The following is a 19770-nucleotide window of genomic DNA, read 5'->3' on the forward strand; positions in this document are numbered from 1 at the left end:
ACTGCTTTGTCCTGTGGAATATTGGAAAGTTGTATTCATCCAGTTTTGAGGCCCAGGCCTTGAGAAATGGGCAGTTTCTCCACCATGTTTCCTGGAATACTGTCTCTGGGAGCCTCGAGTTGCATCCCCAATATGGAGACAGACATGTAATGTGAAGCCTTCTTGGACCCTTCCAGACCAGCTTGTCTGCCAGCTGAATACTTCAAGGGGCCTCAATCAGCACCACATGGAACAGAAGAATTGTCCAGTTATCTTCTGCCCAAATTTCTGACCACAGAATCTTGAGATAAAACAAAATGGTGGTTGCTTTGAGCCTTTAAGGTTTGGGGTAGTTTGTTACACAGCATCAGATAACTGGGCAGGATCACAGTGTGAGGTATATGTGAAATAGACACCAGGCACTCCTCTGTCTGTCGTGGGTGGAGCCCTAGATCTGAATTTTACTAAGTGCCTCTACATAATTCATAGTTTCAAACAAGACTGGGAATGCGTCTTTATCCTGTCTTGGTTCTTGTAGCATGATTCTCCAGGACATGCGTGGGATTGTGGAAAGAGCACCTAAATTCTTCCATGGTACCTCCTAGGAAATCTAGGCACAATCGGGATCTGCTCATAGCCTACTCCCTAGTGCTATTCGCCCCCCAAATATGAAGCTTCTTCTTCAAAAAGAACACTCCTAGAGTCACTGTAGGGGCCAAATTGATTGTGAGATATTTGAAGGCCAAGGTTCGGTGGTATTCGTCATCATATCCCTAGCACCTAGCCAGTCACAAAGTAGTTGTTCACTACATGCTTATGATTGAAAGTAAATAATGATAATAGCCATAAATTTAATGATCCTTTACCTCACATTAGCATAGTAGTAAATGTTTTGTATGGATTTTCTCATTTACTCTTCACAACAATCCCAACAGGTAGATGCCATTAGTCTTATGTTAGAAATAGCAAAACTGAAGTTCAGGGGATGAATCTGCACAAGGTAGCTGGTAGAGCAGGTATTCTGTTTGACTTGAGTGCTTTTAACCACTCCACGGTACTCCCTCTCACAGGTGAGGTATCCATAGTCCCTGCCTTTGAGGGGCTCCAAATCTGGGGGAGCCAGAACACAACTGCACACATGAAAACATTTTGCAGAGCAGATTATGTAAGTGGCTCAGCTCTGTCAGCAGAGTTCTGCAGGGATCTTTGAGAGCTATATTAGTTTACTATTGCTGCATAGCAAGTAACTACAGACTCAATGGCTTAAAAGAAATCCATTTATTAGCTTACAGTTTTGTAAGTCCAAAGTCCAAGCACAGTCTGGGCGTGGTGGTTCATGCCTGTAATCCCAGCACTTTGGGAGGCCAAGATTGGCAGATCACAAGGTCAGGAATTCGAGACCGGCCTCTCCAACATGGTGAAACCTCATCTCTACCAAAAATACAAAAATTAGCCAGGCATGGTGGCACATGCCTGTAATCCCAGCTACTCAAGAGGCTGAGGCAGGAAAATCACTTGAACCTGGGAGGTGGAGGTTGCAGTGAGCCGAGATCGTGCCACTGCACTCCAGCCTGGGTGACAGAGCAAGACTCCATCTCAAAAAAAAAAAAAAAAAAAAGTCCAAGCACAGCAGGACTGGGTTCTTTGCTCAGGATCACCCAAGGCTAAAATCAAGGTATTGGTCAGGCTGCTTCCTCATCTGGAGCTCAAGGTCTTCTTCCTAGCTCATGTGATTGTAGCAGAATTCAGTTCTTTGTGGTTGCAGAGCCAAGGTCTCTGTTTCCTTGTCAGCTACAGCTGGGGGCTGCTATCAGCCCCTAGAAGTCACCCATATCTCTCATCCAATGGATCTTCCATCTCCAAAGCCAGCAATGGAGAATGTCTCTGGGGTCAAATCCCTCTCACACTTCAGGAAGAACCCAGTCTCATTTAAGGGCTCACCTGATTAGGTCAGGCTCAGCCAGGATATTCTCCTTAAAGTCAACTGATTTGGCAGGTGATTACATTTGCAAAATTCCTTCATGGCAGCACCTAGATTAGTATTTGCCTGGATAATTGGGAGAAGGTGTGTGTGCCCCAGGAGGTGGGAATCTTGCAGACCATCTTAGAATTCTGCCTACCATGAAAGCACAGAGCAAGGACTGACTGACAAATAGAAGCTGCTCCACAGGTTTGTTCTCTTGCAGAGACTTTATCTGCTTCTCTATTCAGAGGCCCCAGTGGAGAGGGATGCGTTCTGGAACCTTAAGGCAGATGATTATACAATACATCTTAATCTGAGAGTGGGGTTTGGAGAGGAGGGGTGCAAGGCCCATAAAACAATGACTCTGCATGTTAATGTGCTGTACAAAGGTAGAGAGGCTGCAAATTGTGGTACCCCATGCTGGTTCCCCAACTTTCTCCTCTTAATAAGGTCTCTGTGGAGAGGATTTGCCCCAGAGGGTGCGAGCTGGGCAGGGTCTGGGTTTGTCTTTCTCCACAGCCCTATGTTCTCAGCAGAATCTGCTGCTTTTGCAATCGGAGTTGATTACTGAATAATGAATTATCATTCTTTTTTCATTTTCTAGCCCTTTTCAGAAGTGTGCTGCTATTTTTCTACTTATTGAGTCTCAAAATGGAAAGCAAAGAAGATTTTTCTCTTAGAGGCGGGGAAAACACAATCTTAACAACCCCATTTTGGTCCTGCAGGTGAGAGTAATAATTGTTTTAATTAATTCAGTTTCTGATTTGGAGTAATTTAATTTCTTCCTTGACTGGTCAATAACATGTCTAATGAAGCGAGTTTCTTTGGAAAATACCAGGCAGGGCCACTTGGTCAGATCAAAGAAGTTCTTGCCTTCCTGGAGGGCTGCTTCCTCCCTGCTGGGCAGGGTGAGGACATGAAGGGGTATCTGGAAATGGGTGTTCCACTCAAGGAGAATAGAGCCACACCTGTGTCAGAGAACAGAGGCTTGCTCCAAAGCCTTCATGGGGTTGCGCTGGAGAGCTGCCTCACACATCACAAGTCGTGGGAGTTCTATAATGTGAGATTTGTTTTCCTGGGAAGGAGGCTGCATCCAGCCTGCCTCTCACATCCACTGTGAAAGAGGAGGTCAGTGCACTAAGGGCAGGTGGCCACAGATGAGAAAGGACAATGTCACTGTGTTAGTCAGCTGTATTAGGCTCACTAACAAAGTAGGGAAACAACAGAAATTTATCTTCTCACCATTCTGAAGGCTGGAAGTCCAAGATCAAGGTGCCAGAAGGGTTGGTGTCTGGTAAGGTCTCTCCTTGGCTTGCAGAGGGCTGCCCTCTTCCCGCGTCCTCATAGGTCGGCCCTCTGTCTGTGTGTTGTTTATATCTTAAACTCCTCTTTTTATAAGGACCCAGCCATATTGGACTGGGGCTCTTCCATATGACTTCATTTTGCCTTAATCACCTCTTTACAGACTGTGTCTCCGAATACAGTAACATTCTGTGGTAGAGGGTTAGGACTTCAGTGTGTGACTTTTTTTTTTTTTTTTTTTTTGAGGCAGGCAGGGGAAACACAATTCAGCCCCTAGCAGTCACCCCCACAGACACTGGAATGAGGAAACCTAGAGTTCTTGGACAGCAAAGTAAGCAGAAACAGCTCGGAGGTTACTTCCTTAAAACTGACCTGTGACCCAGCAACAGGCCTTAAGTTACCACATTCCAAAGTGCCTGTGGGGAGAAACGGCGCAGCTGGGACTCTGTGCTGTGGCAGCCTAAGCGAACCTCTTCACGGGCTAATGACAAGTAAGAAAGGAGAGTGGAGCCTCTGCTGCTGGGATTTTAGTGTGTTTGTGAAAGGGTGTGTCTGTGTGTGTATGTGTGTGAACAAGTGAGCATGCATGTAGGAGAGTGTGTAAGGAAGTGTGAGTGTTGTGTGTATAAGGGTGTGTGTGAAAGTGTGTACATGAGTGGTGTGTGAGTGTGTGTGTGGGTGTTGTGTGAATGAGAGTGTTGTGTGTGTGCTGTGAGTGAATGTGAGTGTTATGTGAGTGAATAAGTGTGCATTGTGTGTGCTATGTGAGTGTGAGTGTTGTGTGTGAATGTGTGTGAATTGTGTATGTGCTATGTGTGTGTTGTGTGAATGAATATGTGTGAGTGTTGTGTGTGTGTTTGAGTAAATGAGTATTGTGAGTGCTGTGTGAGTTTGTGTATTGTGTGAGCGTAGTGTGAGTGAATAAGTGTGTGTGCATTGTGTGGGTGTGAGTGTTGTGTGTGTGACAGAGTGTGTGTGTGTGTGTGTGGTGCTAGGAGGAATCGTGACAGTGGCCAGGTTGCCTGAATTACCTTTCCACCTTTACCACAGATTACTGGGGAGGGCAGGAGGCAGGGCAAGGCATCTGCAATGAGGAGCACCCAGGTGTTCATGTGAGAGAGCAACACAGGAAAAAAAAAAAAGCCTTCAGTCCCGTCAAGGGAAAGAAATGCACAGATCTAGATGCTAATATTCAGGTAGAAGCTGCAAGATTTTGATATTGCAGGCAGTTTGCAAAATCATTTATTTTAGATAAACATTTGCTCATTCTATTGCTCACAGACCATAGGTTCTTCTGAATCTCTCTCACTGGAGGGTCAATACCAGATTTTTCAAACATTAATGAGTACTATCTAGATCTCATGCTTCTCTCAAATTTATTCATCCCAAGTGTATCCCTCCATTCCCTTGTCCTGAAATTTTATAAAATTCCCCAGGAGAAGGAACAGCTCATTTACTCAGCACGTATTTCTTCACATCCCTCCTCTAGGTGGGCTTGGGTTTTCTCCTTGGCACTCATCACTGGGTAACACAGTATGTTTTTACTATTTATCTGGTTTACTCCCTGGCTCCCATACCACCGTGTATGCTCCATGAGGGCAGATAATTGTCCCCCATGGTGTTTCACTGCTACATCTCTAGGGCCTTAAATACTGCCTGATACAGAATAGATGATTTAGAAATATTTGTTCAGTGAATGAGTGTATTTAATGAAAATCTAATATGCTCTAGACATTCTGCTAAGGGCTAGAGAGAAGAAAATAAATGAGATCTGGGCCCTTTCTTCAATTCCCTTGTTGGTGGTAGGATCAGAACTGCATGCAAATGATGGGAGTACAGGTGATAAAGAGCCAGCAGAGGTCTATGAGGTCTTCGGAGAGTGATGTGGGAAGGGGAGGGGTGTGCTTTGCATTGAGCCAAGGAGACAGCAACCTAGGAAAGATGTCACAGTAAGCCGGTACTTTCAGGACAACTTGAACTTTCCTGGCACAAACAGAGCTTGCAGGTGCAAGAGTGAAGTAAGGGGAAGTCTGGGAAAGGGCACGGGGGTGTGAGGGCGCTGATGTGGAAACAGTATAGCATCAGCAAGGAGCTGCACAATCTAGTGTGCAGGACGTTTTGTGTATAGATCAAAGGGGAGAAGAGAAGACACCAAAATATCAGGGCTGAATGTCAGCTAGGGATTGGGAATTTTGTTTCATAGGAGCCTTGGAAGATTTGTTTTTAATATTTCAAGCCTATTAGTAACATGATCAAATTGGGAGTTGTGGTAGAATAAAGGAGAAATGGGACAGGAAGAGACTAGAGGCTGAAATGAGTTAGGAAAGCCCTGCAATAGACCTAGAAGGGCAGGGGAGGGGGAGAAGTGGGCATGGAGTCAACACTGAGAAAGCAGAAGCGACTGATCCGGTGATTAAAAAAGGCAAAGGAGAGAAGAAGCCAGTGGGGATTAGGAGGAATCTGCACCTCCAGCTTGAGCAACTGGGTTAACAGTGGCACCATCCATTCATACGCAGAATGGAGAAAAATGGGAGGTATAATAGGACGCAATTTGAAATGCGCACACACTGTTGAGGGAACCACGTGAGTCTTTAAGAAGTATTTCCTGTCCTTGGAGTCTGCAGAAGCCTTGGGATTGTCATCATCTCCAAAATGAACCAGGAATAATATCATTTTTTGCCTCAATCATCCTTTCCTGCCTCTCAATCCACCTTCCTCTGTACGTACCAAACTGTTCCTTCTGCTCTGCCTTTTCGAGTTGTGCTTGTTTCCCTGCTGATCATGTGTACCCTTACTATAAAGCTAGCATTATCTCCACATTTTGTTGCTTCAAAACTGAACACAAGCATAGCCAAGGCACCAAGGAGACACCACTAGCTGTTTGTTGACTTGAACTACACAGAGCTAAAGATTCAAAGGAGAGAAAGCCTTTCTGTAGTTTTTGTATATATTTAAAACTTTCTTAGCTTAGTAGCTGTTGGGAAGTTTAGAAACACACACACACACACACACACACACACACACACACACACACAGAGAGAAATAAAAATAAAAGCAGGGCGGCTCCTGCTTGGGAGAGACCTTGCCCTTCTCTTTTCTTTGCATATTTAGCTAATTGTCATTATTAGAACCCCACCTTCCAGGCAAGCTGGTAGCAGCACCCAGAGGTTTAAAAATTGTTGGGAAGGTGGGGAGACGAGATGGCATCACTCTTCTGTGTCAGACAGGGACTCTGAGTAAGCACAAGTAACAAGGAGACCTTGAGATCAGGGCAGCTTCTGTGAAGAGTGGGCAGGCAAGCTCAGCCCTGGCAACACCTGGGCACATGACTCTTTCCTAAGTCATAGGAGGCTCCCACTGAGAGAGAGACTGTCTTCTCAGATGGTCCATTACTGCAGGATTACAATCGTAAGAATTAGCTTAGATCCCTTATGAGAGGGACCAGATTGAAGACAATATGCTGCTTAGTTTCCCTAGTTCTCTTCCGTTGCAAACAAGGCTCTAAAAATGCTCTGCAGAACTAAGTCATGAATCATGTAGGAGAGAGCAGGAAAGTCTAGGATGAAGGAGGAACTGCTACCAAAAAAATGAAAACAAACCACAGGATGGGGACTCAATGGCAGGAACTGAAGGGTAAAAGATCCTGTAGCAGGAGTCCCACGGATGTGTACAGAGAGATGAGGGAAAGAAGTCTGAGAATGGAGAAAATTGGGGAAAGGAGCAATAAGAGTTGCCAGAACATTGTCCTATGAATTGTGAAGTAGTCCTAAGACAGGTAGATTCACACAGCTGGTGGATTCACATACCTGGGTGGGCACACGGAGAGTTATTTGCAGACATAGATCAAGCTAGTCTCTAGCACCACCCCGGCTCCCCGACCTTCCCTTCTGGCACTGAGGTCATTGGCATCCCAGAGAGGACCAGTGGTCTCAGTCTTCTGACTTGGGATCACAAAGGCAAAACTCTAGAGGCCTCATGCAGGTTATGTAAGTTGAGTGAACCCAACTAGGTATAGGAAAAATCATCCACCTGGATCTCACTATTGATAGAAACCTGGATACAGAAAAATATGTCTTGACCATCAGGGAATCTGCAGTGTGAGGGGATGACAAAAGGGACTGGCAGTCAACCACAATGTCAGAAGACAATGGGGTGTGGTGGGCTAGGTAGTACACAAGGGGGTCTGTGCCAAGCTGAAGGGTAGGGTCACCCTCCTACAACGCATCATCAGCATTGGAGACTGCGTGTCCAGTGCCTGTTACATATGATTTTTGAGAGAAGCTATACTAATTTTTATATGATGTCTGCCAACTTAAAAATATTCAGATTTTTAGATGTTACAATTGATATACACAGGCACGTTGCATTCAGCCTGCAAGCAGTCAATTTAAAATCCCTGCTCCACTCCAATCTTTCTCATTTTGTATATGGGGAAACAGGCCCATAGAGATGTCTTGCCCTCTGTTGCACTGTGAATTGGGGCAAAGACCACATCTAGAGCCTAGGTCTCCCCAAACCCAGGCCTCCTGCATCTCCTATTGTTTCAGCTTGTTTCTCTGGTTTCCTCAGCCTTACTCCCCACTCTCAGAATCTGTTTTGGCCTCGTATGCTGCCCCCTGGTCGTCAATAACATCACTGCATTATTCCACTCAGCATCCTGTGTACCACACATGTACACCTGCCCCCAAAAAGTCAACAAAAAACTTAATCCTTCAGGACCTGTAGTGAGTTGAGTTGTTCACATTCCCACAAACATGTTCACATCCTAATCCCAGAACCTGTGAATGCTAGTTTATTTGGAAAAAGAGTCTTTGCCGAGGTAATTAAGTTAAAGATGTCGAGATGAGGACGTCATTCTGAGTTAAATGAGCAGGTCCTAAGTGAGTGGTGTCCTTATAAGAGGAAGAGCACAGACAGAAGAGGAGGAGGTAATGTGCCCCTGGATGCAGAGATTGCAGTGATGTGGGCATAAGTCAAGCAAGTCAGCAGCCACCAGAAGGTGGAAGAGGAAAATAATAGATTTCCCCTCAGGGCCTCCAGAGGAGGCACAATCCTGCCAACAGGTTGATTTCAGACTTCTGGCCCCCAAAACTTTGCAAGAGCTAACTGTTGTTTTAAGCCACCTGGTTTATTATAATTTGTTACAGAAGCCACAGGAAACTAATACAGAATGCTTTCTTCTGCTAAGGGATAGGAATTTCCTGTGAGAGTAATAACAGTAATAACTACCATTTTGGGGACATTTCATCTGTACCAGGTCCATATGTTTCCTACAGTCCTCATACCATTTTAAAAAATAGATGTTATCTCCTTCCTTACCCCTCTGCCCACCTATTACAGAAACAGGGAAACAGACACCTAGAAGCCACATAGCTCCTAAGCAGTAGAGTCACGATTTGAACCCCAAGTTCTTTATTCTCACTACATTACCCATAGGGAACTCCCTCAAGTAAGCTTATATAACAGTGAACTTGCAAAGCTCCGAAGAGTGGCTCTTATGGTGGAAGTTTCCGTTCTAATAGGTCACTGTAGACATTTTTGTTTGACGATTACTACACTTCTAAGATTTAATATGTTAAGCTAAATTATGCCAATTAATATTAACAGAAAGAATCATGCTTGGTGCACAGCTCTGTGTCCTGGGCTCATGGTTGAGGCAGAGCTGTGCTAATGCACATGACTTTCAGTTGCAGGCATTGTTGGGCTGTGTCCTAAGGTGAATCAACATAAAGAAAAGCCCTGGCTGCTCGTGCACTGATAACTTCATCTTTTCGGACATCTGGGAACTACCGCCACAATGTCTGGAAAAAAAATGACTTCAAACTAATGCAGCAGAGGCAAACCATGGTTTGGCCAAAAATGGAACAGAATTTACAAGGGAAAAGGGAAGTTCCTGGAGTAATATGGTGAGTAGATTCTGATCCAGAAAAATAAGACTTAAGTATGGATTTTAAATGTTAAGCTTGAGTAGTTAGAGAATTAAAGTTAATCCCTTTAAGCCTCAATTTGCAAATCTGTAAAATGTAAAAATAGAAATAATATGTACATATTATATGGAACAGTTTCTGGCACATATTTGGTTCTCAGTGAATAGTGCTTATTAAATTATTGATGCTGTTGCTATGAATTGTGCTGAGCTCACTCTCTGCCTTATTATACAAAATTTTGACTAAAATATTCTGTAAGAGAATATCACAAAACCATCCCATCACTAGCTTATTTTTTTCTTTTTATAGTTATATTAAGAATTGCAATCCCACACCAGAAATAAGCACCCTTTCAAATTATCCTTTAAAATAACTTGTTGCAAGCATACATAAATTCACTTCACGTATAATATTTTTTCAATTGACTTAGAGTCTGTGAAATCAGACTTGTTAGAGGAAAAAAAATCTATAAAGGCTGCATTCATTCATCCACCAGATATTTATGGAGGAACATCTCCAGAATCAATGCAAAGTGCATAATTGCCCTAAGAGCTATGGGTAAAATGCCATGGGATTATAAACGGAAAAACACAGAGAAGTTGGTTAATTAAAAAATTAAGTGTAAATTCAGAAGAGAGAGAATTACTCTTCAGTAATACATGAGGTTGGGGAGGGAATAAGAGAAATGACAAAAAAGCACAACACAAGGGGAGGCTGTGTGAAGGCGGCTGACTTCTGATTGGATCCTAAAGGAGAGGTCATGTTTCATTGTGCAGAAAAAGGGCTTTCTAATCAAAAAAGAGACAGAAAAATTCTACATGTCTAGGGAAAGCAGCAAATGAGTCTGCTTAATGGGGTAAAGGGTAAATAAAAGTGGATATTTGATTTGATATTGGAAAGGTAAGTAGGAGAGGCTTCAAATATAACCTGAGCATTGTGATCCTTAGTTGCTAGATTATGTGTGTCCTTAACAACCTTAGTCAATGACAGATATGATCAGAAATGGGTATTTTGCAATTTAAGTGTGTAGTCTATGTTGGTGGGAATGAAGGCAGAGAGGATGGTTAGGAGACCATTTTAATAACCTAGATGAGAAGAGAATGAATGTTTAGTTGGGTGGATAAGAAGGGAGTGAAAGAAAACAGAGAGTTAGCTGAGAGACCACCGAATGATTAGATGTGCCAGGCTGAGGGGGAAAAAGTCAAGGATGACTCACAAGTTTTAAATCTAAATGTCTAGGAAAATCTTCTGATAGTAACCTGAATAAAGAACATTGAACAGTGGCAAACTTTTCTGGAAAAACTGATATGCTTAGTTTGGTATGCATGAAGATGCCCATCATGGAAATAAAAAAAAAAAAATGAATTTAGAGAAAGTTTGGCCCTGAAGATTGAGAAGGATAAAGCTCTACATAAGATAATAGTAAATAGCCTTGAGTGAGCTTAAGATTACTAGGAAGAACATAAGGAAAAAGAAAAGAAGGAGACATAGACAGACTCTTGAGGGCAACATCTAATTTCATGTGGGTAGAAGTAAAATATCATGCTGAGAAAGGGCAATCTGGGAGTCAGGAAGAAAATAAAATTATTCCAAGGGCTCTGTATTAGTCAAGGTTCTCCAGTGAAAAAAAATCAATAGAAAGAAAAGGAAAGAAAGAGAAAGAGAGAGAAAGAAAGAGAGTGGGGGAGGGAGGGAGAGAAAGATAAATGAGGAAGGTGGGAAGGAGGGAAGAGAGAAAGGGGGAAAAGGAGGAAGGAAGGAAGAAAGGAAGGAAGGGAAGAGAAGATAAGAAAGGAAAAAAGAAGGAAGGGAAGAAGGAGGTAAGGGAAGGAGGAAGGGAAAGATAAGAAAGGAGGAAATGAAGGGGAGAAACAAGGAAGGAAGTTAGTTAGTTATTAGGGGAAATAACGTACAAGATTATGGAGGCTGAGAAGTCTCACACAGACCATCTGCAAGCTGGCGACCCAGGGAAGCCAGTAGGATGGCTCAGTCCAAGTCCGAAGGCCTGAGAACCAGATGAGAAGACAGTGTAACTCTCAGTCCAAAGCTGAATGCATGAGAACTGGGGGCACCACTCATATAAATTGCAGAGTCCAAAGGCCATAGAACCTGGAGTTCTGATGTCCAAAGATAGGAGAAGAAGGGTGTCTTAGTTCCAGAAGAGAAAGAGATAATTCATCTCTCCTCTGCCTTTCTGTTCTATCTGGGCCCTCAGCTAATTGGACGGTGCCTGCCAGGTTGGGTAAGGGTGGATCTTTCTTACTCAGTTCATTGACTCAAATGCCAGTCTCCTCCAGAAACACCCTCACAGACAAACTCAGAAATAATGCTTTAACAGCATTTACGATGTTTTCAGAAACAAGATATGACTTGCCGTTCAGTTAGTTGTTCCTAGATGGCAACTTCCAGCCTATAGCAAATCCATATACTTAGTATTGTTGTCTTCATAAAATACATTAACAGAGTAACAGTAATATGGCTGCTGGAAGACGCAATGCCTAGATGAAGTGTTCAGAAGATTTTATGGAGTGAAGCAATCAGAAGAAGAGAAGTAGCACCTTTGCCCTTAAAAAATTTCAATGGAGTTTTTATATTAATTTCATATTTAAAATTTATTAAAAACAGAACTATGTGCACAAAATATAATCTCACTTATGAAAATGACAGCCTAAAATCCTGTTTAAGAACCAATTTTCAATATATGGAAGTTGTTCGTGAGCATCTGAGTCATATTAGGATATTCTTGTTACAATTACTACAGTTTGTAGAGAAAATTAACTTTCTGAAGTATTCCATAGGTACAAAAATGATAGGCTTTTTTAAAGTGAGCATTCAATTTTCTAAAATATATTGTTGGGTTTTCCTCATACTGTATTGTATATTTAAATATAATATGCCTTATGTATACAATGTATATAAATTTAAACTATATACATTTGATTAAAAACATAGTATAATAATTGTATATTACATATCTGACATATCAATTTCCTTACATATGCATCTTTCTCTCTGGGTATTTAAAACAAAAACATTCAATAGTGTTTTATTAACATATCTCTAAGAAGAAAGAGGCAGAGGCAACTGCCTTCCCTGACAAACAACTGCTCTCACATTATTTTCAAATTTTCATCATGAAATTGCATTTAGGAAAAGAAGAAGCCATTGGGGTAGGTGGGTGAATATTACAAGAAACTAAGTGAAGAGGTAAAAATAAAATCAGAACCCAATTATCAATTTGAGGAGCAAATATAAGGCGAGCTTCAATTTTTTTTTAATAATCAGGCAGTATCTCAACCTCATGCATTGTTCTGGATGTAAAGATGTGGCTTGGAATATCTCCCTTTCCTAATACTGCACCAAAGAATCAATAATATATGTCAGCTTCCTCAAACCACAGTGGGGTTGGCAAAGGGGCAGCAATCCTGCAGAAGGGAGAGTCAGGTTGGCAGTCAGTAATTGTGCCATCTGCACTTGAATGGTCCTCTCTGCTGACTTCCATTTTGTAAAACTATTAACGGTCAACAGACTATGTATAAAGTACTTACTGTGCCTTTAAAACTTTTTAAACTACTAAGAGCCACTTACACATTTGGGAAGAATTCCATCTGCAGAGACCAAGCTATTACATTAGTTGGGTGAACATGCATTTTAAGGATTACATGTTAATGAAACCAGGTAAAATTTGGTCATTTGAGCAGCTGACCAGGCTTGTGAATGCTGGGACTCTGTACAAAAGAAAGTTCCTATTTGGGTCATTGATTTGCATAATTGAAGTAATTACCTTGGTGCTCTGCCTCACTCTGTCTATAAAACTCACCAGACCAGGGAGGAGTGTCTGTTTGTCAATCAGAATGATGACTTACCTTCACCCTTCCTGTGCCCCAGTAGCATTCCCTGGTTATCTGGCTACCTGCATGGTGGTAAGGGTGTGCCCGGTATGTTTGATCATTGAGGACTTTTCTCTTAGGTTCAGTTGAGGGAAAGATAGCATCAGAGTCATTATTTTTCACAGTCCGGATTTCTTGAATTTAGCTCAGATAAAGAGTATGGTGAGAAGGCCAAAAAGGTGGATGAGGCAGAAGTTAGAACAGGTTTCTGATCTCAGCCTTGTGGCTAACTCGTTGTATAACTCTGATGGATCATGTCATCTCCCCAGCCCTCAGAACACCCCCAGTTAGAATGACAAAGGAACCAGGGTCATTCTAGAGAAAGGGGTCTGGGTCAGGTTAGGTAAAATCACTTCCTCACTGTCACCTATGTACACTGTGAGCTCACTAGCCCCAAACACTCAGATAATTACTTTGATGTTCCATGTCATTTGTCCCCTAGACCTTTCCCTTCTGAGTGGGAAGAAATATAAAATCATGAGTGCCACGTAAAAATCAAACAAAAGCTTTCCTACAGCTGTGTGGCCCTTGGTCACTGGATTGGGGAACTAAAGTAGAGAAGGGCTTTTGTATAGGTTACTTAGGGCAGCCAGACTTTAAACCAGACTTTGCAACACTAAATAAATAGGAGACCCCAAGAAATTTCAAGGAAGAGTAGAAAACTGAGGAGGAAAAATAGATTTGGTCCAGAGTTCTTAATCTGCTACAGTTTCAAACTTTATTTTTTTAAGTCTCAAGACAAAGAAAGTGATACATAGCAACTATCAAAAAAAAAAACCTCAATTTTCTTTTCTATTTCTTCTTTCTGAGCAGAGGTGGAGGTTCAAATGGCTAATTTTAGACTAGGCTGATGAGAAAAATAATATAAGTTAGCTCAATTAACTAGATGTTATCACATAGTGCAAATGTGACCATGGACACAGTGGAGGAAGAGTGATCACCATGGAGATGTTAGCGCCCTCAGGTTCAGAAATTTGTTGTAAAATTGTTAGAATAATCATGTACAATGCATATAAAGATTTAAGGAGAGATCAAGTCAGTGGACACAAGGGCTAAGCATACTGATGTGTTGTCAGATCAATGATATGTATGTTGTCAAAAACATGTATGTTCAAGCAATGATTATGGCCTTTATACCCTAGCACATTATTTCCAAAGAAGAATAAATCACACAGGTTCCCAGAAAGGAGACAGGCTTGGGCTTACGCATTTTTCTCTGATAATTACCATGTTACTTAACTTTTAGGCTTCAATTTCTTTATCTCTATAAAATGGGAATTAATGGTAATGTCTACCTCGTAAGTTGTGAGGATTTAATGAAATAATGCATGGAGAGCACTTAGCTTTAGTAAACTTTGGTAAGAGCTCAATTACTCATAGCTTTCATTATTGTTACCATTCTGTTTTCATGGAAATACATATTAAGAAATCTGCTCAAGCTATGGGCAGTGTGATTGGTTTAGGCAAACTTGTACTTCTTAACTCAGAGTCATGAACAGGTAAGTGGAATATAGATGTTGGTAAATGTTGTTCTGTGGGTTGGTAATAGCTTTAGTAGATGAATCCAGAGCTCTTTTGTCCTAAAGCACAATAATTTAGTGTGTTTGCACAGCCTACAACACATTTTGGCAAACTAGCATCCATTTTGGCCTATTACATTGATGAATGCTCTAATGAAAGTGTGATGGTTGTCAGTCCTACATCTTGGGTGAGTCTCTTTTGAGACAGACAGCTTTGTTTAGTGTACAGCCAGAATTAGTTGTCCCCAACATCTTACATAGGAATGCAAATGCTTGCCAAGGAGAAAAGAACAGGATAAATACCTCAACACAATCTATTGGAACTCCTAGAAAGGCAATTCAGTGTCCAAACAGTATACATGCAGTTCTGAAAAGAAAAAAAAGGAGGTTCCTCTCCTGTTTTCCGTCTAGTAAGATGGAAAGAATAGGGAATTCTCTTTTCAGGGACAGTGTTATGACACCAAAATGTTGTTCAGCCAACACTGTGAACAGAGGTCTCAGAGGCGAGACCATAATACTCAAGTATTTCACAAGGAGAAGGCTTACGATAAGTTAAAGAACATTTTGCAGATTATAAATGCATTTAGACTATTATTACTTATTTCACAGATCAAAATTCATTAAAGTTAAATGAGTAGTTAATGGGCTACTTTGTGGTTTATTCTTGTATCATTAAATTTGAGTGGGTACATGCATTCCCTTAAGTAAGCTGGAAGGCAAGATGGTTTCAGTTGTTTTCATATTTATTGTTATTGTTGTTTCATTAGTAGCTCATAAATTATTCCTAATGAATTATCAGAAGCACTAATTATATCTGGGTTCCTCTTTTCCACTAACTAGCACAAGTGTGGAAGATTTCACATTTTCTGGAAAGCTTGTTTTGTTTTTGTGTTTTTAAATAATTTCTCTGTCCTAACTTTACCTCTGCTATCTCCAGTGTAGGTCAGATGAGGATGGAACTGGTGAATGAGCAGAAGAGAAGGTTGGAAGAGTGCAGTGGTGATGACAGCCCTCCGCTGCTCCTTCCCCAGAGGAAGGAGCTCCAGTAAGTAAATCAAATCAACACCATACCTCCTATTCCTTTGTCCTTTCATATACAGCTGCTTAAATTAGCTTTAAGTTCCCTGAAGGTAGGAATAGGTTTATTTTCAAACTGTGTTCCGGATCTAGCACCTTGCTTAATCAATGTTAAATAGTAACAGTGAATTTTAATTGGCTTATTTTCAGAGCATCAGATTAAATTATTCTGCTAATTAATTGGTTGATCTCATATTTCACTTATATTGTCAGGTTATTATTTTTCCCTTTGGGGCTCAAGATGCCACTGACAGTTCCAATACTTCTTCATTAGTTACCACATCTTGGATTTCACATAATTTTATTATAATTATTTTGATACCATATTTATTGAGCACCAGCATGTATTCAGAGCAGTTAAGAACAGAGGATTGGTTGCAGTTCCTTCCACTATATGCACATCAGTTCATTGCTTAAAATCCAATAGAAGGTGTACTTGGCTTGGCAGAGCAGAGACTTCAATTAGGTTTAATTGGTCAGACACTAAACTAGTTTCATATAAGTGATCAATAGACATTTTATAACATTGGATCAAGTTTCTTTTTCACCAGCCAAATGTTTCCTGTTAATTGACTCATCTTGTCTTCCCTAGATAGCTGTGATATATAACTAAACCAATCCCTACATTTTAAGAGGAAACTAGGCAAACTGGTAGTTTTCAAGAGAAAAGGAAACAAAAGAGAAAAGGATTTGAAAATCTCCACAGGTCAAATGGTTAAAGCAACTGTTAGTGTTTCGCATGGAAAACAAAAAATGTAGTAAGGCATAGAAGCTCCATGCAACATTTAAAGAGCTTACATAGATAGGAAATGGGTTAATTTCATGTAAGTAGAAAGAAAATTTTGCACAATGTATGAAAAAACTAAATAAACTCTTAATATATACATTGGGGACCTTATAATACAGATAGTTCTTGTCATTAAAAGAGGCATTAAAAATGCTACATTTTAAAAATTTTAACACATAATTATGAATGCCCTACTCTGCAAGACATTTTTTTTTAATAAGTAGAAATAAATCAGACAAAGCAATGGCTGCAAAGAGCTTAGTTTTTAGTGTGTTTTCGTGTGTGTGTGTGTGTGTGTGTGTGTGTGTGTTTGTGTGTGTGTGGTGGTTGGGGGCAGTCACAGAAATAATCAGTCATGCAATTATGCCCCAGGTAGTAATGAGTGCTGAGCCGGGATGGCAGGCAAGCGAGGTCAGAGAGGTGGGTGAAGACCTAAGCAGGTCACGGGCTTATGGGGAGGCTGGAAAGTTAAAATTTTAATCTAAGTGCAGCCGAGAACCTTCAGAGGGTTTTAAGAAGAGAAGACATTATCTGATTTGCATTTTTAAAAGATCACTCTGTCAGCTGTGTAGAGAATGGATTTTGAAGGAGGAGAAGAATGGAAGCAGAGAGACCAGCTAGGAGACTATTAGACTGAGACAGATAACAGATGTGGGCAGATAGATTTGGAGAATATTCTTTAAGTAGAGTCACTGCTAGATAAGAAGTGAGAGATGAAGGAATAGGTGGAAGGTGGTAAGCACCTCAAGGGATGCTTGAAACAAATTTTTGCTTTAAATGCGAGGTTGGAGATAATGGTATCTGAAGACTCTCCTCTGAAGTTGTGTAATTTTATGGTAAACTTTGGGGGTGGCAACTCTATATCCTACAACAAATTTCTGCTAACACCAGAAGCACATATGTGAGCATCAACATTGATTATAGGACTGGAAGAGATTACAGCATCTATAAAGGCAGAGATGTTCTATTGTTTTCTTCACTACTATTCCCCTAGTGCCTCGTACACTAGACAAATACTCAGAATCCAATAATTATGTGATAAATGCATAAATAAAAGGATGAAAAAGCTGTAAATGTACATTTTTTATACCTGTAGTTGACATTCAAACTAAATTATCCCCACTCAACCCACCTTGCTCTTGTTGTAATGTAAGAGTTGTACTTGGTGACAACACAAAGAATTAACAGTAACTTACATATGCAGGTTTCAAAGCTTAGCAGTTGAAATGGATCAGAATGTTCTTCTTTCTCCAAATCACAAGTCTAGAAGTTGTCTTTTTTGACGCAACTATGCCAAGTCTTCCAAATTAAGAAAAATAAAAATAAGGATATATACTAAGCTAATGTTAAGTAAAACCATTTGAATATACTTGTGCTTTAAGGATGCATGTGATATGTGGACACTAAGGAAGGTTTTTGCCAAATTGTACTGTTAATCATAGAGCCTTGCTCTGAGTAGGCCATTAGTAAATGTCAGTGGATCCATAACACCTAAGTTCATTGAGGATGAGGAAAACATATGAAATGTGGTTATCCAGTCTACCCTGAAGAGATTTTCAGCACTTTCTCTGGAGTCCCCTGTTCTTATGATTCTCGTAGGAATTGGTCTGTCATGTCAAGGTCTTTATTTACCTGCCTTTAAGTTCTTCCAGATAAAGTAATTCCTGGTTTTAATAGCTTTTGTGAAATGCATAACTACTCCGTAGCCCCCAAAGACCCAACAGGGGCCTTTCTAGAGGTTTTCTGTTCTTCCTCTTTCCTCTTCCTTCACTCACCAGATGGCTCCCTTCATTTTGCCTAATCCACAGAGTTTATTCACCCCTCTTTTACCATGAGGCAGAGGGAAAACAATGACAAATACACAGTAAACTTCGTTATCAACAAACAGAAGTTGTTACCAAGGCAACAGAACAAGAGCATCCCTGCATCCAGCCATCACAGTGTGAAGTGAGTTTCAGATGAGGAGATGCCTTGAGGGGCAAGGAGACCCTTCAGGAAAAAGCTGACCTGATAAAGGAATCAAGGAGCTGCCATCCCAACTGATGTCTTTTTTCCCTTTCTCAATAAAGAGAAGAGCTTGCAAGAGCCCTGAAAGACAGACAGGCTGCGTAAACTACTTGGGATTTCAAAGAGTCCTGTTCAATTAATCTGACTACAGATAGACCAGAACGGTTCTACTTCTGGGTATAGGCAGAGGTGAGACTTTGGGGTGAACAGATACAAGGAAAGGGGACAGGGCATTAAACACCTCTGAACTGCTGTGTACACTATAAATAGAAATGAGATCCTGTATTTATACAATGCCTTTTGTCCAGAAACCTGCACTCACAGCACAGACATCACCTGCCTAGGCTTCCAAACACCCCTGTGAGTTGAGGATCAAGGACAGGGATTATTTTACAGATGGGAAAACTGGCACTTAGAAGCAGTATATGTGCCAAGGCCCTTCAGAAGACAGCAGAACAGCCAGAAACAGGATGCAGGTAAAAATACCAACAATAAATTCTTTTTATTTGTTCTTAACATCTTCCCTGCTGGATCAAGATCTTTTTCACAAAATGACATTAAAGAGTCAAAGTCTTCCTTTCTCCTCAACAACAGGGAGCTTGCATAATCTGAATGTGCTTGTTGCAGCCCCTGACACTATGGATGGAGGGGGATCAAGGGTGGGCTTGTGGATTACACTTATCAAATTGAAACACTCTAGGGAAGCATTGTAGCTGCTCTTGAATTCACCTTCTTGGTTTAATGGAAGTACTTTTAGGAGATTTATTTTGATACCTCTCAACCATGTGGATTCTTAATCTGGGGACCTCAATCAATCAAACGAATGTTTATTGATTGACTACCATGTTCAGATCTAGTGCTATGAAAGAATAATAAATATTACCTATGGTACTCACCTGATAAAACTACTGTGTATCTACCATAATGCTCTCTAAAGAAGTACTGAAAACATATAGTAAACAATGAATGAACAAAATTAATACACCATAGATGGTGACAGGAGAGAGTGTGTTAGGGTTCTAAGAACAACAGGGTATGGTGACCTGAAGTCAGAGGAGCCTTGACCAAGGAGAGGGATCTTAAACCATTTGTCAAAGGTTTTATCTGTGAATGTAATGAGATGGTGCTATCCCCAAATAAAATAGAGCTAGACAAAGACCATAAATACCATATACTCTAAAATAGAGTATACAAAGCTCTAAAATAGTGCTAGACATATACCATTTCACAGCATTTCTTCATTCGTGCTTCAGAGATAGGATGCTTAGCATGCTGTGTTGTAAATATTTATTTACTTTCCCATTGTAGCTTCCTTCAC

At 40.9% G+C, this 19770-nt stretch overlaps 1 long non-coding RNA gene across 1 annotated transcript; it reads left to right on the forward strand.

Annotated features, from left to right (window-relative positions):
- Positions 1-3670: 3670 nt before the first annotated feature.
- Positions 3671-18543, forward strand: LINC01645 (long intergenic non-protein coding RNA 1645). Its single transcript, NR_126001.1, has 4 exons — positions 3671-3735; positions 8932-9150; positions 15524-15626; positions 18254-18543. It is a non-coding gene; the product is annotated as a long intergenic non-protein coding RNA 1645 (long non-coding RNA).
- Positions 18544-19770: the final 1227 nt, after the last annotated feature.

Source organism: Homo sapiens, chromosome 1 (assembly GCF_000001405.40).
Source record: "Homo sapiens chromosome 1, GRCh38.p14 Primary Assembly".
Taxonomy (NCBI): Eukaryota; Metazoa; Chordata; class Mammalia; order Primates; family Hominidae; genus Homo; species Homo sapiens.